Below are 24592 nucleotides of genomic sequence, written 5' to 3' on the forward strand. Positions count from 1 at the left end.
TTAGACCTCCAATTGATCCCGATATTCATCCAAATTTGAGAACCAATGCTCTAGGCAACTGGGTGGGATTCCCTTCCTTCTCTTCACTTTTTTTTTTGTGTGTTTGAACATTCTTGATTTCTGCACAATTTTGTTTTCCATTTCCTGGTCCTAGTTTCTTTATTTTGTCTTTACATATTGACTCCAAATTCTGCTGACTCTTTTTAATCTGACCCCATCCTGACTCCCTTGGCATCTCCCATGTGCTTTCTGCTTTCGTGCCCCTTGGACTCTAGCTTCTTCCTGCCTGCCTTGCTCACCTGTTTCCTAAGACTCAAAGGACCTTGCACCTACTCCTTGTAAGGAGGGTGAGGTGAGGGAAGCATTCGGATATTCATCACATTAATTTTACGCACTTGTATTCTGCATTGACCCAAAACGAATTCATGACTTTCTTTTGTTTTAAAACTATATCAAACATGATATTTAATGAAATGGGAGAGTTCCCTGACCCCCCTCTCAGGACATGTGACAGGGGTGTGGCTTGTCTGTTTGGCTGCTGTGCTCAAAACCCTCATGGGAGAGGAAGCATGCAGACAGGCAGGTGCGTGAGCTGGGATGAGTGCTTTTGGGCTCTGGCCCCACAGTAGTGTCTAGGGGTGGGTGTCTGTGACTCCCGAAGCCCCAGTGAGCATGTTACAGTGCTCCTTTAGCTCTGCTGTCTGCAGACGGCTTAAGTGTTAACCAGCTCAGTGTCCTCTTGGTACCTGGATTCCTGTCCATTGTCCAGGAAGAAACAGATCACACAGACAAATTGAAGGATAGTAAATGCAGTGATTTTATTGCTGGATAGAGGTGACTGTCAAAGGGATGGATGGGGAACTGGAAAGGGGATGGAGTGGGAAGATGATCTTCCCCTAGAGTTTGGCCATCCCACAGCCGATCTCCTCTCTGACCATCCCCAGCCAAACTCCTCTCGACATCCAGACACTCCTTCTCTTCTCTCTCTCTCTGCTGTGCCACTCTTCTACACCTCTGCTCTTCTGCTCATGGAGCCTGGGGTTTGGGATTTATATGGGTACAGGATAGGGGGGCATGGCAGGCCAAATGCAACGTTTTGGTGTGAAAATAGGAATGCCTGTTCCCATGTAGGGCTGTGGGTTTCCAGGCTTGAGGGTGGGTACTTTGCCAGGCAACTGCCCTTTTCTACCCGTTATATCCCTGCGTCCTGACTGTATCATTAATACAATACCTTAAAATACAGTTCTCCCTCTAATTTCAATAGAAATTCATTTATGAGTAAATCATTTACAAAATACTCAGTAGATTCATTATTAATTAATATAATGTGTCATAACTGGGTAAATTTCAAAAAAGGCAGGGGGGCAAATACCCATAAAGGGGAGAGAGAAGCATATTTCTCCAAAGTGACTGCTCATGGCTCCTTTTTGTTGACTTTTTGAAAACAGTGATACAGGCCTTATATCCAGTCAATGAGTATTTATTAATTGCCCATATAGTGCATAATAGATCATTGAGAATTTGAAGTTAAAAGAAAATGTTAGGCAGATGTAGGGCTAACTTCCAAGGAACTAGGAGAACCTGTTGAAACAATGCTGAGAAAAGTGCCATCTAGGATTTATGGTTAGGACCCATAAATACTGTCGTACAATGTTTGAAATATTCTTTTATCTGTAATAAATAATTATTCATCATAATGTAAAGTTTTAGATTTTCTTCTTTTACTAAGCTATCATGTGCCCAGGAAGGTTCTCTAGCTGTGGTGTATTCAGAATACATTTCAGTGTCTATCCAGAATACATCTTTTGGCACATCCTCTGAGAAAATATCACTGGATGCAAAAACGGAAGGAGCAAGAATGAAGTTATTGTGAGCTAAGTCAGGAGACATGAGGAGCTGGGCTTTTCCTTTGTAAAAAACTGGAAATCTTCACTTTGTCCATCTCTGTGCTTACAGTTTTAGCAGGGCCGTAGAAGACAGGAAAAAGAAATCACCCTTCTTAGAAGATTTTGATTCAAAAAGATTTCCTATGTCCACTGGTATGTCTCATATTCAAGGGATGTTTTATTTTATTTTATTTTATTTTATTTTATTTTATTTTATTTTATTTTATTTTATTTTATTTTTGAGATGGAATCTCACTCTCTTGCCCAGGCTGGAGTGCAGTGGCACTATCTCAGCTCACTGCAACCTCCGCCTCCCAGAGTCAAGTGGTTCTCCTGACTCAGCCTCCTGAGTAGCTGGAATTACAGGCACGCACCACCACACCCAGTTAATTTTTGTATTTTTAGTAGAGATGGCATTTCACCATGTTGGCCAGGGTAGTCTAGAACTCCTGACCTCAAGTGATCTGCCTGCCTTGGCCTCCTAAAGTGCTGGGATTACAGGCCTGAGCCACTGCACCTAGTCTCAAGGGACACTTTATATTTCTAAAGAAGAGAAGATCAATTGTTGTAGTAAATAGTTGTTTAATCTTTTTGGCTACCTACAATCTCAACTTCCTTTCCAATATCTGGAAATTTCCCACATTATGAGGCAGAAACTCCTTCTTATTATACAGTTGGGTATGTCAGATAGTCTCATTTCCAATGGTCCTTGCAGGAAGAGTAATGAGCACATGACCTAAAATTTCCACCATGCACACACACTTCTGCCCAGATTTGTGTGGGAAGCCGATGAAGAGGAGAAGAAACTGTCCAGATTCTAGTCTGAGAGAAGTGATGATAGGGAGGGCAATTGCATCCTGTTCCTAAAGGTGGGCGGTGGGAGAGCATTAATGTGTGTCCTGGTTCAGTGCCTGGTATCAGTAATGTCTGGCAGTGTTGCCATCTGCAGGCTGTTGGGAGTAGCATTGAGGGTGGGTGAGAAGTAGACAGATGGCAGCCCAGGTCTAAGGGAGATAGATGCTCTGCCACGGGTCAGGGTGGCAGTCTGTAGTTTGGACTTTTGAGGCATATATGGGAATTCCCAGTGGCAGCAGTGGTTTTAGGATTTTGGATTCTGTTTTGGACTGATAGGCTCCCAGGCTTGATTCTCCAGTTTTCTTATCTGTGAATGCCCAATATCCTTTTAAAAAATCTCCTTTCCACTTAAATAAGTCAAGGTTAGTGCCTGATGCTTACAAATAGGAGGCTTGACCAACACAGTTACTTTTCTTTACAGGTTTTCCTTCAGAAAACATAGCTTCCCAACTTCAAAATATTTAAGACAAGTTTTAGGGGTAAACTTCTACTTTTTAGACCAAAATGATCTTTCCAAAAGGCAACTGTTTCCATTTGTATTGTAATGTTGGCACAAAACCTATTTCCAGTTTTAATTAACACACATGAAATGGAGCAAAAGTGAGAACAGATGAACCGCATAGTTGAACAGGTCCTTCTCTGCCTGCTTGCTCCATGAGAGACTCAAAGTGAAGAGAAGATTTCGTCTGGGAAGCTAGGCTTTCTGGTTGGAGATTGCATTTTTAGGATTTTAGAAGTTCTGTTCTTGAGCCATCCAGTAGCTGAGGGCATGGGAGGAAATTGTCTTCTGTAAGTCTTCGTGCAAGTGACACCCTAGAAAATGGTGGCCATGAACCTGCTCATGGCACACACATGCATTCTGTGGTGCTGTGTCTTACACTGTGGCATGATCTGAAAGATGCGCCACGAAAGAGCTATACAGGAGGCCTAAATATCCAGGTGAGTAGTCCTTTGAGTACGTGGTTTCATTTAAGGGTGAAAATTAGAGTGTTTTGAGAAGCAGACAGACAGCTCATCCTTTAGGCAAGCCTCCTACAGTATTATAATTGAAAATTAGGTTGTGATAAAGAGTTTAAGATTAACTTTCTGGAAAATACCTGAGAGTTGAATGCTCTTTTCTGAAAATTAATGAATAATTACTCCACGGATGTATGCTTGACATCTGGGCAAAGAAAGGAGCCTGACTATGTCACTTGCCTGAAGACATGGCTGCACCATCTCAGGAAAGAGAAGCCAAGTGGGATGTGGGGTCAACAGCAGGCTGTGACTTCCAGACCACAGCTTTATTCCCTGGAGGGTGAGTTGCTAAGACAACATGTTCTATGGCTATCGTAACATTGGTGATATGGCCGTGATTATTTGTGTAATAATAAAGGAGAGGAATGGAGTGGTAAACAACTGAGACTATAAACTAGTTTAGAATAGATCTGTGAGGCCGGGTGCTGTGGCTCCTGCCTGTAATCCCAGAACTTTGGGAGGCCGAGGCGGGTGGATCACCTGAGGCCGGGAGTTCCAGATCAGCCTGGCCAACATAGTGAAAGCCCTTCTTTACTAAAAATACTAAATTAGCCGGGTGTGGTGGCACATGCCGTAATCCCAGCTACTCGGGAGGCTGAGACAGGAGAATCACTTGAACCTGGGTGGGGTGGAGGCTGCAGGGAGCCGAGATCACACCGCTGCACTCCAGCCTGGGTGAGACAGAGTGAGACTCTGTCTCAAAAAAATAAATAAATAAAATAAAATAAATTAAAAAAAAGAATATATGTGTGAGAACACATTTAATTATATTTAGCTCAAATATAATATAATATATTTAGTTTGAAATATATTTGTAAGAATGAAAATGGAAACCTCAAAAGATTTGCCTCCTCTCTTTTTTATGTGGACATGCATGTGTCTCTTAGAAATTGAAATGCAGTCATCACAGCTCACATTTGTTGAGTTTCTACAGTGCTTAAAGGCAATGGGCTGGGTACTTTTTCTATGTTATTGCACTTGGTTCTCAGAGAAACTCCAGGAGGAAGGTACTGTTGTTTTCACATATAATTCTGTAGAGTTTGTGTGAAGACCCTGCCCAGGAATGTCACCCAGCATCCCCAGTAAACCACAAAATCAAATGGAAAACACAAAGAAGGCACAAAAATTAAAGATACAATTTTCTTCCAATTACTTACTAATTAGTGAGCTCACAGGTTTATTTGTTATCATTAACACTGTAGATAATCAGCTCACGGTTATTTGAAGATTTGTTTCTACTGAATGTTTCTGTAGGAAATTTCATGATGACTGAAGAGGAAAAAAATCAAAGCAAATATTTCAGAGAGTATTACCTTGATTGTGTTTAGCTGTGCAGAAACAAAAATTATAACCAGATATACCTATTCAATAATTTTCTTTTTCTAAACCACATTGGCCCTGGGCTGGGAGTATTTACATGGGCACCATCTTTTATGCTCTTTAACATATCTAGGTATCATGTCAACATGGTAATAATCCTAATTTTTAAGTTAGTGGTGATCAAACTTTCATATGCACAAAAATCAACCAAGGTGCTGTTAACAAGGTATATTTATAGGTTCCACCCCAAAGTTTGTGATTCATCACTTCTGTTTCTGATGCAGGTTGTTTCTGGGCCCAGTTTCTGAAAAACTCTTCCCAGGTGAGAAATAATAGTGGCAAAGACTGGGGCAGTATCTCAGGGAATAGGTCAGGTACTGGTGGGATATTCATAAGGCATCATGTTTCTTTGAAGCCTTTTCCTTGACTATTTCCTATTTCCTCCCCAATCTCTAGTTCCACCATCTCAACCCAAGTTTCCAATGGACTCTTCTCCCTAACCATCAAATCTGTTTATGATACCAAGAAGCAATGTCTTGCTGGTTGACTGTCCAGACTCAGCCTCTCAGTGAAGGCTAAAAACTATGTGCAAGTATTTCACCCACATCTGGGCCTTCCCAATCAGAAACCTCTGAATAAGTAAACTCATTCTGAATTAGTAATGATTCTCCTCCTGCTTTAGGCCTTTTTAGGAACTGTGTGTTCTACTCTGTGAGCAGGGACCTGTACTGGGGACCATAAAACCCTGAGTTTGAATCAGGGCTTCATCACTTACAAATTGCACGATTTTGAGCAAGTAGTAATTCATGTTTTTAGACAATCTGTTTTGTCAACTGTGAATGGAAATAATCTCTATTTGGCTTGGTTGTTGAGATAACTCAATATTACTCCTTCATTCAACAAATATTTATTGTGCACCTCCCATGTGTCAGGTTCTAGTGGGGATATAGTTTTAAATCATATAAAGTCCCTGCCCTTGTGGAGCTTATATTATAGAGGGAAAGACAGACAATAGTAAATGGTTAATATACTAGTGTGTCAGAATTAAGTACTGTGAAGACAAATAAAGCAGAGTTGTTGGATAGAGAGGGGTTGCCATGGGTGATGGGGTGAGCTATTTTAGGTTGGAAGGCATTTGTGAGATAATGTGTCTAAAAGCAAAAGTAAATACTTGTGTAAATGTTCAGGTAATTTTGATTAAATTTGAACTCACCCAAGTTTTCCCTGTTTCTCGTTCATGTTTTCCCCTTCTGTGGAGGTTAAGCATATTTATTATCTTTCAATTATTTGATTTCCTGTCAAATGTGACATTCCTGTTTGTGTGTAATTAGCATTTATAGAACTTTTTAGTAACATAAACTATACATGAGATATATCTTGTCTACAGCCAAAAAGAACATATACATTGATTTATTTAATTCATTAATATTCATTAATTACCTATGACATATCAGACATTTTATAGAAATTGCAGACATGGAGGTAAACAAGACAAATATGGTACAAATTGTCCTTGAACTTACATTCTAGCAGGGGTGACAGGCATTCAACTACCAGGAAAGACGGATATTAAATGCCAGTTGCACAATTTAAGTTCTATAAAAATTAAAAGTGATCTATAAATAACAGAAATATCTGACCTACTTGGGGGTGGTGGTGACAAAAAAACATTTCTTTGAGGAAGCAAAATTTGAGCAATGCTTCAAAAGCAGAATGTGAATTAAATAGGCCCAAGTGAAGAAGAGTGGGTTGGCAAGGGGCGAGGTTTCAGAGAGGTTAGCACATGTCTCCCTGAGCAGGAAGGAACATGACCCTTCTAAATGACCTGAGAAAACTTAAAAAAAAAAAAAAAATTAGCCTGCATGTTGGTGGGAATGGACTGGAAGAGGTAAGTGTGAAATGGAAGAACTGGGAGTTTGGACTAGGGTTTAGAAATATTGTTTATGAGATAAAATGAACAAGTCTTATGATTGATTAGATATGTCAGGTGGAGGTGTGTACCATCTTGCATGTGTCTGGCTCTCCGTGTACACTTGGGGAAAGGGACTGTTCATCACAACATTGCTGATCTGGTCTTGTTGCCCTTAGGTAGTAGGAATAATACTTCCTACGGCTTTGTTCTATTTAGCATAGTGTCACTAAAAGAGCAGTGGATGGGAAGTCAAGGAAATCCATGTTATAATACCAACTCTCACTAACTAGTCTAACAAGTTTCTTAACTACTTGGTATGGATTTGGTGTTATCCTTTGCAAGATATTGGATCATAAAGTATCTAAAATTCTAGATCTAATGAGGTTAAGTAAATTAAAATTTAAGCAGCGATTTAAAAAAAGCACATATTAAGTCATAGTAAATGTTAGTCAGGCTAAAACTCTAGGCATTATTCTTGAATCCTTCCAATCGCTTAGTTAGTTCTACCTACAAAACATGTCTTGAATCCTTCCAATCGCATAGTTAGTTCTACCTACAAAACATGTCTTGATTTTATCCATTTCTCTTTATTGCTGCTACTATTACACTAGTCCAATAGTAGTCCCTATTCATTCTTTCCTAGACTACTGCAATATTATCCTAACTGATCTCTTTCCCTCTACTCTTGCCTCCCCAATAGCCCACTTTCCAGGTGGTAGCTAGAGGGATCATTAATTATCATTAAAAATGATAAATCAGATCATGCAACTCTAATGCCCAGACCCTCCACTAACTTCCTGTTACACTTGGAATAAAATCCGAGCACCTTATTCTTTCTTACAAACCCCTCCTTGCTTGGCTCCTTTGTACCTCTTCTTTCTCATTGTCCCTTGCTCCTCTGTTCCACATCTAGGCTCTAGCTACACTATATTTCTTTTCCTAGAACATGCCAGTCTCCTCTGTGCCTTAGCAGGCCATTACTTTTGTCTAGAGCCATTACTTTTGGCTCATGGCATGACCGGTTTCTCCTTGTCATTCAGTTCTTATCTTAGATGTTACTTCTTCAAACAGTGCTTTCCTGATCATCCAACTAGTGGCCAGCTGATAACTCTCAATTACAATGCCCTAGTTTAAATCTCTGAAGAGTGTTTGTCACTCTCTGCTATGTGTATTTGATTGGTTATCTTTTCCTACCAGAATGTAAGCTCAGTTAGAGAAGGAGACTTCAGTTGTCATTATGTCCCAGGTGCAAAACAGTCTTTCATATATAAAACACACAGAGAGAATATATGATAAATGAATAAATGAATAAGGCTAAATCAGGAAATAAGAGATCCTTACATTCATGGGTTTTACAATCTAGCAAAAAATGTACATAATCTGTTATGCTGTCAGGGTTTATGAGCGGTCGAGAAGTTAACATTTCTTAACTTCAACCTCAAAGGTCTTTCCCACAGTCTGTGAAGCCTGTTTAGTTGCTACTACGTTAAACGCACATTCTATTTCCTTTGAATTAGGTTATATCAGCCTATTAAAAAAAAGAAATAGCTCTTAAACTACACACTGATGAAAATATGATTGTACTCTCTATTATATCCAAATAAGCAATCTGTGTCCCCAAACTCTTAGTACTGCTTTTTAAACCACAAAAGCTTTGGTAGGATGTCAAATATTTTTCCAGTGTTTAATAAAATAGTAAAGAAACATTTTCTAAAAAACTCTGTAAGAGATTCTGGCCTGGGCTCAGGAGAGTTAGAATACTTAACATCTGTTTTGCCTGTAAATTTTGTCACCTCTGGATCCCTTTGTCCCTTGGTTTTCTCATCTATTAAAAAAAATTACAACAGAAATCTCTTATTTTCAGGTAACACAGGAGGCAACACAGATTCTTCAAGTCTCACAGCTACTCCCTAGGGATCACTGGGGAACTTGGAAAAAATCTATTGGCTCAGCTAGTGAGCGATCACTTCCTGTACCACTGTTCTGAGGGCGGACTTCCAGCTCAGGATCATGCGAGGGCATTTTGTAAGGTCTTATTTTTCTTAATGCTATTTTCCCCACCAGCCTGCCAGAATGTCTTAAACGTCTACCACAAGAATCGTTCCTTTGGGTTAAGAGGTTATCTCCAGGGAGACGTGTTTAAAATGAGCTCCTTGTGTAGATAACACATGAGTGCTGTTCAGCACATCTGCACGAACTGGAGTATTAGAATAGAGGTTGCCTTTCAGAAGAAAACTTGAGCTAAGGGAATGGAATATGTTATTTTCTGTTTCTTCCTTCCGTGGAGCTATTCACCCTTGAAGCAGTTACAGAGTACTTCAATAACCAAAAGCTCTGCTAGGCCGTAGGTAGAATTAGCAACAAAAAAGTAACAGCCTCTCTCTCAAGGAACTTTTGGTGTGATGGGGATGATGAGTACGTAAAAATTAACTGGGCCGGGCACTGTGGCTCATGCCTGTAATCCCAGTACTTTGAGAGGCTGAGGCGGGTGGACCACTTGAGCCCAGTTGCCATCCTGGGCAACACAGGGAGATCCCTTCTCTACAAAAAATACAAAAATTAGCCAAGTGTGGTGGCATGCTTGTAGTCCCAGCTACTCCGGAGGCTGAGGCTGGAGGATTGCTGGAGCCTGTGAGATGGAGTTTGCAGTGAGCTGAGATCATGCCACTGCACTCCAGCCTGGAAAACAGAGCTAGATCCTGTCTCAAAAAAAAAAAAAAAAAAAAAAAAGTTATCTGTATTACGAAGACAAAATGAAATAACCAGATGAGATTATAAGGACAGGAGCAACTCAGGTAGACATAGAATAGTGGGAAGAGCTTTTTGAAGGAGATGGCATTTTCCTTGAGCTTGACTGAGACTTTGGGGAGCAAGAAGACTTTTGATAGACAGGTGAGATGACAGGAATAAGTATAGGAAAGGAGAGAGAGCTTCTTAACCTGAGAGAACAGCAAAAGCAAAGGCAGAGTGAACTTTGGTGAAAATCAGAATTTGGGAAATATTTGGAGAGTGAGCTGTTCCCTGTGAATTTTTTTCATTATTGAGGTGTGATTGGCATACAATAAACTGCACCTATTTAGTGAATGCAATTTGATTAGTTATATGTATGCACCTGTGAAATCTTCACCATAGAACATTCCATTACTTCCAAAAGTTTCCTTGTGCCCCTTAGTAATTCCTTCCTCTGACCCCCTTAGGCAACCACTGATCTGCTTTCTGCCACTATAGGTTAATTTGCATTTTACAGAGTTTTCTTTAAGTGGAATGATACAGTATACTCTTTTTTGTCGTTATGATTTCTTTAACAGCATAATTATTTTGAGATTCATTTATGTCATCTGTATCAATAGTTCATTCCTTTGTATTGCTGAATAGTATTCCATTGTCTGGATATACCACGATTTATCTGTCTATTTACCTATTAGTGGGAATTTGAGTTGTTTCCAGCTTATGGCCATTATAGTTAAAGCTGTATGAACATCCATGTACAAATCTTTACATGGATGTATGCAGCTGTACCATTTCACATTCCCATTAGCAGTGATGTTGAGTGTTTTTTCGTATACCTGCTGGTCATTTGTATGTCTTCTTTGGAGATGTCTATTCAAGTTCCATTTTTAAATTGGATTATTTTATTTTATTTTTTTTACTATTGAGTTGTAGGCATTCCTTATATAGCCTGGATATTAACCCCTTATCCACAGGTTGCCTTTTCACTTTGTTGATTATTTCCTTTGCTATACAGAAGCTGTTTAGTATGATACAGTCCTGCTTGTTTTTTTTGTTTTTGTTGCCTGTGCTTCTGATGTCATATTCATGAAACCATTGTCAAGACCAATATTATAAAACTTTTCCCTTCATTTTCTTCTAAGTTTTACGATCTCTTGTCTTATATTTGTCTTTAATGCAGTCTGAGGTTGATTTTTGTGTATGGTGTTAGATAAGGGTACGATTTCATTCCTTTGCATATGTCTATTCCGTTTTCCCAAACCCACTTGTTGAAGACATATTCTCTCTTCATTGTGTATTATTAGCATCCTTGTCAGAGATCAAACATTCTTACCTTGTCTTGACCTTAAGGGAAAGCATTGTCTTTTACCAGTGTTATGGGATGAGTTTTGTTCCCCTTTGCCAAATTCACATATTTAAGTCCTAACCCCATATATATGTGGATTTATTTCTGTCTTTTGACCATTTTTAAATTGGATTTTTTAAAAATTGAGTTTTGAGAGTTCTTTGGATACAAGTCTTTTGTTGGCAATGGGATTTACAGTGTTTTTCTCCAGGCTGTGGCTCGTCTTTTAATTGTTTAAGAAATGTTTTTGAGGTGCATGCATTTCTAATTTTGATAAATTATAGTTTATTAATGTTTCTTTTTATGGATAGTCATATCTATATTTTTTTGTATCTAAGAAATCTTTGCCTAATCCAAAGTCACAAAGATTTTCATTTTTTTAAAGAAGGTTTGTGGTTTTTGATTTTACATTTAGGTCTATAATTCATTTTGAGTTTATTTTTGTATATTATATGAGATTTGAATTAAAATTTATTTCTCTTAATGTTCTGTTTGTTGAAAATGGTACCATTTGTTGAAAGACGATCTTGTCTTTGCTGAATTGCCTTTGCATTTTCTCAAAAATCAGTTGTCCACATATGGGTAGAAGTAATCATGGTTTTTTGTTCTGTTTCATTGGTCTATTTAAGTATCTTTAGTAAATAAAGACAGCTTTGTTTTTATGTCTTGAAATCAGAATTATTTAGTCAACTTTGTTCTTCCTTTTCAATTTATTTTGGCTACTCTAGGCACTTTGCATTTTCAGAATCAGTTTGTCAGTTTCTACGGAAAAGCCAGCTGAGTTCTCATTGGGATTGAGTTGAATCTATAGATTAATTTAATGGGAGTTGACATCCTGACAATAGTGGTCTCTAATCAATAAAAAATTTATAGCCATTTATTTGGGTTTTCTTTAAGTTCCCTTAGCAATGTTTTCTTGTTTTCATTGTACAGATCTTGCACAAATTGTATGAGATTTATTCCTAAGTATTTCATGGCTTTTGATCCTGGTATAAATTGTATTTTTTAAGTTTCAAAATTGTATTTTTATATTTTAAAAATACAATCCTAAATTGTATTTTTTGATTGTTCATTGGCGGTACATATACATTCATTTGAATTTTCCTTTCCTATTTAAATATCTTCTATTTATTTTTTCCTGCCTTACTGAAATGACTAGAACCTCTAGTACAATGTTGAATAAAGTAGTGAGAGCAAATATTCTTGCCTTGTCCTGACCTTAAGGGAAAGCATTGTCTTTTACCATCGTTATGGGATGAGTTTTGTTCCCCCTCACCAAATTCATATTTAAGTCCTAACCTCCAGTACCTCAAGATGTGACTATTTGCAGAGAGAGCTCTTAAGAATGCAAATAAGGTAAAATTAGGACATGGGTGGGCCCTAATCCAATATAACTGGGGTCTTTATAAGAAGACATTAGGACCTAGGTATGTGTAAGTGCAGAGGAAAGACAATGTGAAGACAGAGAGAGAAGAGAGCCATCTGCAAGTCAAGGAAAGAAGCCTCAGAATGAAACTAGCCATAATCTTAGACCTTGATCTTGGACTTCCAGCCTTCAGAACTGTGAGAAAATTAATTTTTGTTGTTTAAGCCACCCAGTCTGTAGTATTGTAATATGGCAGCCCTAAAAAATGAATATAACCATTAAGTATGATGTTAGCTGTAGGTTTTTTTGTAGATGCCTGTTATCGGGTTTAGACAGTTCTATTTTATTCCTAGTTTGCTGAAAGTTTTTTTTTAATATATATATATCAGGAATGTACGTAGGATTTGTCAATGCTTTTCTGAATATATTGAGAAGACCATATGGTTTTTATTTTTTAGTTTGTTAATATGGTGAATCAAATGGATTGCAACAGTGATTTAATATGCCATAAAAATTCTTATGTTCAGGAATTAATGATATTTTCAGCTCTTCCTATGGTATAAATGAAGACAAAAATGTAATTAGCCACAACGCAGCCTATGTAGATTGGTAAAACTCTCAGCAGGGTTTCATAAACTAAAAAGGAAGCAGTGAGATTGGATGATGAATACTTATACCCAAAATTGATCGTAATCTGAACCCTCAATTTGTTAAAAACTTTCTGAACTTGGCTTTAAAATAGAAAGAGGATAATAGGAAATGAGGACTGTAGCAAAAGCAAATAAAACCCACATATTTAAAATATGATCTAGAGCTTAGTTTGCTTTTTGTTAAATTTCTTATATATACCTATGTTCTTAATAGGTATGTGAAGAACAGGTACTTGTGCAGGAGATAGTTAAGGAGCCTCAGGAAAATGTCTTCCTTCTCTACCAAAATACCCACAATGTTTTATTAGCAGTTTATTTCTTTGGTTTAGCTTTGTCTCTTTTAAAATTTGATTTCATCTGGAGAACCAACACTTTGGGCTGTTGAGTGTTCACTAACAGTTTCTGTTGATTTACTTTTCCTCAGGGCTATTTGGCTGAGGTCAGAGCACTAAGGATCTAAGCATTTTATTCAACGAGGGAAGGATAATCGTGAAGCATAGAATAATCTGATTATAGGACACATCTGGCTAAGGGGTGGGGCTAGGAGCTGGTAGGAAGAAGAAAATGACTCATTCTAGGAGATAGGCTGATGTGTAGAAAGGGAAATGGGAAATCATTTAAGGTGTTATTGAATGAAACACTTATGTGTGGTGACTCGTTTGCCAGGCTTGTGTCTGGACATAGGTATGAATAGACAGTACCTTTAAGTGAAAGCGAGGATGGAAGTGGAGGTGAGAAAGGGTGTGAGGGAGAAGCAGGGAGATTGAGTGGAAACAAGAGAGTAATGTTAAGTGTCAAGACTGGTTACAGAGGTATATTCAAACTCAGGCTGGAGCATAGTGGAGGCAGTTGCTGAGAGGGTGGCAGAAAGAGGGAGTTGGTTAAGAAAGCCTTGGAGAGGAGGAAACAGATGAGTAGTTGTAGTACAGCTTTAAGGATGACCTGATATTTCCATAGGATATTTATTTATTTATTTTCAATTTACTTTTAGTTTTTAAAAAATTTTTGTGGGTACATAGTAAGTGTATATATTTATAGGGTAACTGGGATGTTTTGATACAGGCATGCCATGTGAAAGAAGCACATCGCCTCAGGATATTTCATCATAAAGGAAGATCAAATTATTTTCTGTGTTCTGTGTTTACTAGGTCAAGATGCTAAAAATAAAAGAGTTTGTAGGAAGAGTGGAATATCCATGTAACACTTGGGGGATCAGTCTATTGGCCCCAGTCTCTGAGTATTTTGGTTAATTGAAGACTCATTAATATTGGATCAACTTTAACCCATTAATGATGTTTATTGCTAACCGTGTGCACAATGACATAGTATAATAAAGTACTGTAAGGGCAAGGGCACTGAGCTATGTCATCTGGGCTCAAATTCTGCTACCACCTGTTATTACTTGTGTGACTTTGGGAAAATTATCCTTTCTTTGCTCAGTTTCCCATCTGGGAAATGAGGTTAATAGAATTTTTCTTTCCTTTTTTTTCTAAATGAGGATCATGCCAGGTGTTGTGGCTCACGCCTGTAACCTCAGCACTTTGGGAGGCTGAGGTGGGAGGATCACTTGAGTCCAGGAGTTCTAGACCAGCCTTGGCAACATAGTGAGACCTTGTCTCTACAAAAAATAAAAACAAAATTAGCTGGGCGTGGTGGCGCACAGCTATAGTCCTAGCTTCTTGGGAGGCTGAGGTGGAAAGATGGCTTGAGCCCAGAAGGTCAAGGCTGCAGTGAGCCAAGATTGCATCACTGCACTCCAGGCTAGGTGACAGAGTAAGACACCGTCTCAAAAAAAAAAAAAAAGAGAGAAAAAGAAAAAAGGGGCCGAGGTGGGTTGATCACATGAGGTCAGGAGTTCCAGACCAGCCTGACAAAAAGCGCGAAATCCCATCTCTACTAAACATAAAAAATTAGCTGGGTATGGTGGCGTATGCCTGTAATCCCAGCTTCTTGGGAGGCTGAGGCAGGAGAATTGCTTGAACCCAGGAGGTGGAGGTTGCAGTGAGCCGAGATTGTGCCATTGCACTCCAGCCTGGGCAACAAGAGCAAAACTCCATCTCAAAAGAAAAAAAAAAAAAAAAAGATCAATTGAGTTAAATATGCAAAGTGCTTAACATAATGCCTAGCACATATAGACACTCAATAAGTATGTATTTTTATTATAGTTTGCCTGTGGAATATATATATATATGTAAAACCATATATAAAATATTTGTATTGATATTTACGTGTGTGTGTCTGTATATATATATATACACATGTGTGTGTCTATATAGACACACATAGAGGGAAGAAGAGAGAGAGAATGAGACAGAAAGAGAGAGAGAATGAGTATCAGTAGAGAACATGGGTTTGCAGGAAAGGCAGAACTAAGTTAAAATCTTGATTCTGTTAGGTACTTACTGAGCCTCAGTTGTTTTTTGATTGCGCAATGGATATAATAAACTTTTTGGGGTTATTGTGAGAGTTAAGTGACAAAATATACAAAATTGCCTAATCAATTATCTGGTTATTAGTGGACACTTAATGGCTGTCTATTGTTATTACATATTTTTAAATAGTCATCTCTAATCATATTTTTGTTGGAATGATCCTCATAAAACTATTGCCAGGAAACAATAAAGAAGTATTCTGGCTGGGCCCTGTGGCTCACACTTGTAATCCCAGTGTTTTGGGAGGCTGAGGTGGGAGAATTACTTGAAGCCAGGAGTTAGAGACCAGCTTGGGCAACATAGTGAGACCCCATCTCTACAAAACATAAAACATTTGCTGGGCTTGGTGGCTCGTGCCTGTAGTCCCAGCTACTCAGAAGGCTGAGGTGGGAGGATTGCTTGATCTCAGGAATTTGAGGCTGCAGTGAGCTATGACTGTGCCACTGCACTCCAGCCTGGGTGACAGAGCAAGACCCTGTCTCTAAAAATAAATAAATAAATAAATAAAAAATATTTCTGTGTATTTAGTAATTTCCTTTATATGCTATAGACTGGGCCAAAATTAACTTTAAAAAATGTTCATTTTTATCTAGGGAGTTTCAAGCAAGAGAGAATTGAAAGCATGATGTATGGTAATATGATTGAAGCACTTAGCTACAAACTAGCCTTTTATTGACTGAATCTTACAAATATATTTATTTGTTTTTTTAAACATTTGTGTGGATCTCTAATCAATGGGGAGAAGAAGGAGTAAGTTTCATTAAACAATATCGATATTGGGATGATAAGATAGTTTACTGGGAAAAAATAAAGTTTAATCCATAGCTCACATAGTATATTGTGAAAAACTTCAAATGTATTAAAGGTATAAATGTAATATATGAAACCATAAAAGTAATACAGTAGAAGAAAAAAATGGGTGAATTACTTTTTAGCTTTGGAGTAGGGAAGCATTTCTAATATGATTAAGAATTCAGAAATCATAAAAGAAGAAACTGATAAATTTGACCACATTACTGTATATATATATATATATATAGTTTATATATCATTCTATATAGTTTATATATGTAGTTTTTGATTATACATATATAAGTTTGATTATATACAGATATCTGTATATAATCTGTATATAAAAACTACTATAGATAAAAACTATCATAAGCAAATTAAAAGATGAATAACACATTGGGAAAAAATCAGCTTAAAATTTACAATAAGATTTGCAACTCTTATAATTTTTATTATGAATTAAAAAATTAATCTCCCTAATATTTGCAGAGATCCTAGAAGTTGATAAGAAAAAGACTAGATGTGTTTTCTTAAAGTGGATAAATAATATGAACAGACTCTTCACAGGAAAGGAAATAGAACTTGGCCTTTAAGACGTAAAAAATGTTCAAACTCGCTCAGAATAAGACAAATGCAAATTAAACTGAAAAGCATTTTTTTTTTTACTTATTGGTTTAAAATGGCACAATAACTATAAAATACAATTTAGTATTACCTATCAAAATTATAAATGCATTTTCCCTTGGACCCAGAAATTTTGCTTATGAAATTTATCCTATACATAAAACTGCAAACACAAATAATGAGTTATAGGAAAGCTTATTTGTTGTAACCTTGTTTCTAATACAAAAGGTTGATAATAACCTAACTGTCCATCAATAGAAGACTGATTAAACAAATGGTGGTCCTTCCCCTACAATGTAATACAAGGTAGCTCTAAAAAAGAAAAAGAAATTCCCTATATACTGAGATGGAAAGTTTTTCCCTTCTATTGGGTGGTAAAAACAAAAAAGAACTGAAAGAGTATATTTCATATTCTATATTTTGTATAAGACAGTGGGAAGAATGTGAATATAAATGGGAAGAATATGAATATATATTTACATTTGATTATAATTGCATAAAGAAACTCTGAACAGATACGCAAGAAACTAATAAAACGGGTTACCTTTGGAGGTGGCAGGTGGTGAACAGGGCAGATAAAAGCAGGGGTGGGAGTGAGGCCTTTTACTGCATTGTTTTTAATGTTTTACTTTATAACCAGGTACATTTATTATCTACTCAAAAGTAAAATAAAATAAACTTAATTTGTCTTTTGAATCAATAGTTGTAATCTTTCCACAGTCATGGGAAGCTACAGATAATCAGTTATTTTTCTTGAATTAGTTTAGTTTTGCCACTTCCCATTTCCTCTTATTATTAATTTTCCACAGTCTCAGAAAACATAATGAATTCAGACCCCATCAGGAGATGACGATGTGGTCCAGTGGGCCACAGGCAAACTTGGACCAATTAAAAAATTTTCCTTCATATCCCTTAATAATTTCAATTTCCTTTGTTAATCCTATTTCCCTAAAAAAGCAAATCACTCAGAGGGTGCTAATTTAGCATTGGTTGTAGACAGGCACACTGGACGGGCAATTGCGTTAGAGTAAGTTCTAGCGTAAGTTGTCTTATGACAAACTAGATCATTTCTTACATGATTATTCATTTACGATTGGAAATAGTGCTCCATGTCATGTATGGAGTTCAAGAATTGGCAAAGGGAAAAGAGATTTTACTATGAGATATTTTACTGGAAAAGGCCAAGTGTTTGATATTTTTGGCCTACAAAGCTGATTAGCTCAGTAGAGTCAAACAACAGATTTAATTTTATCAAATTAATCTATGTTAAATGTACAGAATTAAAAATGATTTTTTTTCTATTTATTAATGTCTTAAATGTTACCCCTTGTACTTTAAAATAAAATGCAAGGCTCAACCTTATGATTGAAAGATTAGATGAGGCTTGAACCAGTAAAAATAGATTTTTTAAAGGAAAAGTTATTTTGAGTGGAGTGCTAGCTGTACTAGACAAATTCAGTCGGGCCTCCTCTTCAGTCTTGTCAAAGCTTAGCACAGTCCAGAAGGCACTAGTGTGTATGCCAAAAAATCAGAGCAGCAGCAGTTAAAAAAAATAAGTGCACTAAGAAATATTAAATGGAAAGCCAATGCCTATAAATAAAGAGGCAAGTGAGCACTAATCAATCATAAGTAACTGAACAGAAAATAGGAGTTGGAAGGGTGAGAGAGATTTCACATACAACATATGAGACTAGATACAAATGATTTAATTAAACTGTGTTCCTTCTACACAAGACTCAAAATCTCTAAATGTTAAGAAAAACTGGAGTATAGAAATGCAACGTCTTGCTTTGCAATCTATAGCGGATGAGTAGCAAGGCATATGCCAACAGCAGAAATAGAAGCAGTTGATGAATCCTGGGTGAGTGGAGTGTTTCATTATCTGTGTCTGTTTCTTGCTATTCGTCTCAGATTTATTGCTCTCACTAAGGGACCAAACCCTGTTCACTATGAACAGTAGCACCCACCACACACTTGGAGGTTGGGGTAAAAATCATTAAACAGAATATAAAACTAACTTGAATGAATATTGAATAAATGCAACTCAAAGTTAAAATAATTTAACTAATAAATAAAATAAGTGTTACAGCAACCAGAGGGAAGGTAGGAGGAAGGGGAGAGGAAGAAGGTTGGTCAGCACAAGTGTGAGGAGAGAAAAAAAGGCATTCATGGCTGTCTACCCACCAGCCTCAAAAAAAAAAAGGAAGTTAACGCTAGACATTGTCTAGTTGACCTTAAAGGCAAGTCTTGTCTTAAGTAATTACTTATGCTGCTCAGCAGAATTGGACCATATGGCCTTCTCTCTAGAAGGGAACATGAATCTTTTCAAGTAAGAGGCCCACTCAGCCCTACGACATTTAGATTCCAAGAAATAGATAAGGTTTATAAAAATAAGCTCTACTGGCTTCTTGGATATCCATGATTTTATGTCTTGAATTAAGTCAGAAAAAAATGGAATTATTCTCTCTCATATACACTTAGGTTTTAAAATAAAGGGGATTTGAAATTCTGGAATTAAAATCTGAGAGATTTTCTAAGATCTATATCTATATTTATGTCTATGTCTATGTCTATGTCTACGTCTATGTCTATGTCTATGTCTAGGTCTGTCTGTGTCTCTCTATATCACTGCTATTGTTCATTCTCAATTCTATGAAACGAGAGAATGTGGTGACATACCAGAGACCGGAATGAGTTTTACTCTATCACAAACACAGGAAAGCATAAGGCAAAATCCATATATCAAAAGCAAAAATCAGTTTTCCAACCTAATAAATGACAGCCAACATGCTGAAGGAAAGAGGGTTATTTTTAAAAGCAAAGATGATTTTGATGGTGAGTAGCTCTGATAATGGTTAGCAAAAATGGCTCATGGGAAAGGCGCACATACTGCTAATAGATTGACTGAAAAGAAAAACATTATTATTGGTGTTTTTCCCCCCTACCAGATCCAGTGATATCACTACTGCAATCTGTTATTTATATAGAAAGGCAGTAAACAGTGGAAAGGAGAGTATCTGTACGGGAACATCTTCTCTGAGAAGTTGCTTGAAAAATAAGCATGTGATGAACATGTGAAAAGCATTTATGCAGTTGGCAGCATATAAATTCTCAGAACAGTAGGGGATAAAAATGGGGCAGATAAAGAAAACTAAGGATTAGATCCAGATAAACAATGGGACGTTTGTAACATATTTGTTTAACAAAAGACTGAGGATATAAGCATACACCTTAAATGAAACCTAGCCTGAAATAAAAATTTAAAAATTAGATTTAGACTAAACATTTTAAGACTCTAAAATTTTACTTTAGCTTATATTGTAATTTACAACTAACAGGAGGGTATGGCTGTATCTTATTTCTATGCCTCAAAACAACTAAACAAACCCTCCCTGGAAGACCAGTTTATATTCAGGCTTTTCGACTTTGGTACTATTGACCTTGTGTGCCAGATATGGCTTAGTTGTGGAGGACTGAGCTGTCCATTTTAGGATGGTTAACAGCATCCCTGGCCTCTACCCACTATGTGCCCGTAGTATCACTACAGTTATGACAACTAATAAAATATCCCGATATTGCCAAGTGTCCCCTGTGTGGCAAAATCTCCCTTAGTTGAGAACCACTGCTCTGTATCTATCACTTACCAGAAAATAAAGCAAATCTAAGAGTTGTAAAATGGCCTTTCCGATGAATATGTACTTTAAAAATCATGAATTTAGGTTTAAAATGAATGTGTAGGAACAGCGTGAGTGATCATACAAATCAATAGGTTGAGAACATTTCTTTAGTGAAGAAAAATACTCAGATGAAATCTTCCACACAAATGCATCACTCTAAACATATTTTGTTTTCCAATTGTTCCCTTTCCCTATTGGCATATTATATAGGCGAAATTCTCCCTTCCTGATCCCCAGGTGTAGCAAAAAGTGCCTTCTAAATGAGAAGTCTTGAATATTTGTTATTTTTTTTTCCCAGAGGAAAGCTAGATTTTCACCTTCCCCTTTCACTTCCCTCTTGGGCTAATTAATACACATCAGAAGTGCTGGGGCAAGTGGATGTCATCAGAAAACCGCTCAATTCCTTTGCCTCATTGCCTGGCAAATCTGCTCTCTAGGACAAGTGACATTCTTTCTGGTCACTGTTGGCAATAAAAGTTGTTCTGGTCACTGTATTCTCAGTTTAGTAATTGATACTGTCAGTTCAGTGTCATAATCAAAATGTGTAATTTTATTGAAATTTCCCTCTATCACACTTTGTGTCTGAGACTTGGCTTCCTGTAGTTAGAATAGCATGGTCAGTTTCTTTTCTATTTCTGCCTAGAGGTTCTATTCCACTTACTAGGCTGATTTCTGGACTGTCTTAGAATTGCAGCAGGAAAATGAGTAGCCACAGGCAGCAGAAAGGTTTGACTTGACATACAATTGTTGGCAGAGTCAACACCATCTGAGGTTTCTCTTAGGATGCTTTTTATGAGTTCTTTGGGAATTACCCTCTCCCCTCCCAAACCCTTGACTCTGGCTGGCTCCTTGCTAACTCCTTGCTTAGCCCCTAGGTATATAGTGGTGCCCTGTGCCTCCAGACGACTTGGTTTAGCAGACTCTGAGACAACTCCAAGATAGCTCCCCTTGCACAGCCCATGTATGGAAAGCAGGAAATACTCAAGCATGTATTGCCTGACAAACCTTGAATGTAAAGGGCACCCCCAGTGCTGCTCACTCTCTTTATTCCAACAGTGGAGCCACCAGCAAGCCACAGCCATTCACCCTTTAGAGTTTACATCCCAGAGTATTCCCCATGCTGTCAGAGACACACATCAAAACTCCAAGGGATCCTATGAAGCCTATTCCTTAGGCTTGAGAGGAGGAGCAAACTTAGGCACCTTCCCCAAGGAGGTGCATGGTATGACTCACAAGCTAGCTTTCTTCAAAGAAATCCTTCTCCAGGTTCCTACTTTACCCTTTTATACCGTCGAAATACACTTTTCAAAAATGTTAAAAGCCTAATTCTCATACAAATATGCAGTGAGCACATGCCAAAGATTTATGTTACTCATAACTGAGTGATGAAAATGAGGGATGGTTCAGTTGAGGATAAGAGATACCGAAGCATGTAAGTATAATAAGGTTGGTGAAAGAAAGAATGCTGAAACAAGATAGAAAAGTTAGATACAAAACTGGCTAATGTCTTATGGAGCAATGAAATGGTATCTTTTGGCATTATTTTTTTCTATCAGGCAGAAATCATTTTCATCTCTACTGAACAAAAATAATTTGTAATTTATTAATCATCTTCAACTGGGTATCTAATGTGTCACAGATTCCCGGCCCCAAGCTAAGGTAAAGAGAAAAGGTATCTTGCTCTAGAGCAAGGGTAGGCAAACTACAGCCTGCAGGCTGAATGAAACCAGGCCTATTTTTGCAAATAAAGTTTTATTGGAACACAGCCACTCCCATTCTTTGATTGCCTATAACTGTTTCACACTGCAGTGACAGAGTAGTTGAGATAGAGACCATATCTTGCAAAGCCTCAAATATTTACTATAAGACCCTTTGCAGAAATAGCTTGCTGACTTCTACTTTAGAGCATCAGGTAACCCTTAGGTGGTATTGATAGGCCATGGTTCTGCATGACTTTGAAAAAGCACACGGTCACCTTTTTGCTGCATTTCCAACTTTTGAATAGTTTTTCTTAATATAACTATGTTATAAGTAAAAGGCTAAAAGTTGCAAACAGGTTTTTGGCCATCTTTTTTGTATGCTGGTCTTGTCCCTCACTTTGGAATTTGAAAATAGTTGGAATTCTCAGCTGAAACTGATATGTAATAGTTCCATATAGATATTATATTGAAATATTATCCCAAATAACTTATGACTTGGTTTTGGAGATCATGATTTTGTGTTTCATTAAATTAAAATTTCTCAAAACTTACAAAAAATTACCATTTTTTTTCTTGGAATTGGCAATCAGTGAAAATTGGAGGCGGCAGTAACAGCATCTGATTCAAGATAATTGTTGAAAATAATTTAGCTTCAAATTTTTTGTCATTTTGATTTTAGCTTTCATTGGGAAAGCAGTTACAATTTGGTATTAATTAAATTTAATATTACTGAATCTAGTTTTCTACTGCTCATTTTCAGATAGTTTTGTCAGATGGCTATGGTGTTTATTGGCAAGCAACTGAATACCATTTTTTGGTGATTTCTTTTTAGAGATATGTATTTGTTTTTAAGTCATAATTTAGTTTCTAATGATGCATTAGTTGTGTCTCTTTCCTTAGAAGTAGCTTGACAATGGGGGAATTTGGTGATGGAATAGATTTACTTAGCTACATCTGTATTTTCCTGGGCAGCTCATTTAACTTATCTGCTCCTTTTCGTAAGTGTTCAATAGGGAAAACAACAAGAGATGTGGTCTCACTTAACCTCCACCATATTTGAGACATGCTTCATCAACTGTGAATTTCTGAGCCAATGTTAGTTGTGTTATTATTGGTGACAGCAGGAATTTGAGAATTGTTCCAGCTATATTTTACCCAGTTAGATCAATCGATACATCTCAGGCTCTGTTGGTTGTAGAACTTGGTTATCACTTTCTCCAGTGTCCCTTCTCAGATCTCCTAGGATTGTGGTTAGGAATTGGCCTGTTTGCTTATCTCTACCTTACTTCAAAGCACCATGTGTCTTTTTTTGGTTTTTCCGATAGATTGTCAACTCCTTAAAGACACAATTCTACCCCTTATAAATACCTGGAATTTGTGTCTAGTATTGGTTTATGGCTTAATAGTTTGTATTAGATAGAAATATAAAAAGGCAGACAACATGAATTAGACAAAGATATCTAATTGCAAAGCAAAAGATACTTGGACTTATAAAAAGTCCTTCCCCTAACAAAACAAAACAGAACAACAAAAACCTGACAGTTAAATGGTAGAAAAATGCTATTGCTTATTAGAACTCAATGAAACTGGGAGCGGGGCTGAATGGGTGGGGTGTGGGCAGAGAGCAAATAGGCATACCATGAAATAGCATACAAGGTGCTTCGTGATTGCCTTAATGTTCATGGCAAGACTTCTGTTTCTTTTGGTAGCCTTTCATTTAATACAATACTATTATGAAAGAGTTAAGTATGAAAGAGTTAAGTATAACATGTGCTGTGGAGGCATCTGACTTAAGACCTAGTTCACACCATAGTTCCAGTGGGGGGTTTAGAGATCTGGAAGCTTTAAAGGCTTTCTGATTAGCTTCTTGGAAAGTACTATAAACCCTACCTTGGTCATAACAGGACGAATGAAAATAAAGTCACTTGGGATATACGTTTAAAAATTATTGGTGCTTTGTTAAAACATATAAAGTTCATGTGGAATGCTGTAGTGGTTCCTATTGCTGCTGTAACAATTACCACAAGCATAGTGGCTTAAAACAACACTAGAGTATTATCTTACAGTTTTGGATATCAGAAGTCCAAAATAAGTCTTACGAAACTGAAGTCAAGGCAGTGTTCCATCTAGAGGCTCTAGGAGAGAATTTGTTCCTTGTCTTTTTCAGTCTCTAGGGGCTGCCCACATTTCTTGGCTCATGACCTTCTCTGTTGTCTGCTTCTGTCCTCACACCCTCTTTTCTGAGTTTGACCCTTGTGCCTTCCTCTTAAAAGATCCTCACGATGA

The 24592-nt window shown here is 37.3% G+C and overlaps 1 long non-coding RNA gene across 13 annotated transcripts in view, besides 1 other annotated feature; it reads left to right on the forward strand.

Moving 5' to 3' along the window:
- The window catches only part of LINC02955 (long intergenic non-protein coding RNA 2955), a 491729-nt gene that overhangs the window by 78847 nt on the left and 388290 nt on the right, over positions 1 to 24592 (forward strand). For 2 of the 13 annotated variants that reach the window (NR_187508.1, NR_187503.1), the window contains exon 2: positions 8855 to 9015. The exons of the other annotated variants lie outside the window; for them this stretch is intronic. This is a non-coding gene — a long non-coding RNA (long intergenic non-protein coding RNA 2955). The remainder of the gene's footprint in view (positions 1 to 8854; positions 9016 to 24592) is intronic. 13 annotated transcript variants of the gene reach the window in all.
- Positions 24336 to 24536: a silencer, noted in NCBI's record as "peak1602 fragment used in MPRA reporter construct". NCBI's record gives its function as "represses an SCP1 promoter by STARR-seq MPRAs in K562 erythroleukemia cells {active_cell/tissue: K562}" and the evidence as "EXISTENCE:reporter gene assay evidence [ECO:0000049][PMID:32103011]".

This window comes from Homo sapiens, chromosome 12 (genome assembly GCF_000001405.40).
Source record: "Homo sapiens chromosome 12, GRCh38.p14 Primary Assembly".
In the NCBI taxonomy this organism is placed as follows: Eukaryota; Metazoa; Chordata; class Mammalia; order Primates; family Hominidae; genus Homo; species Homo sapiens.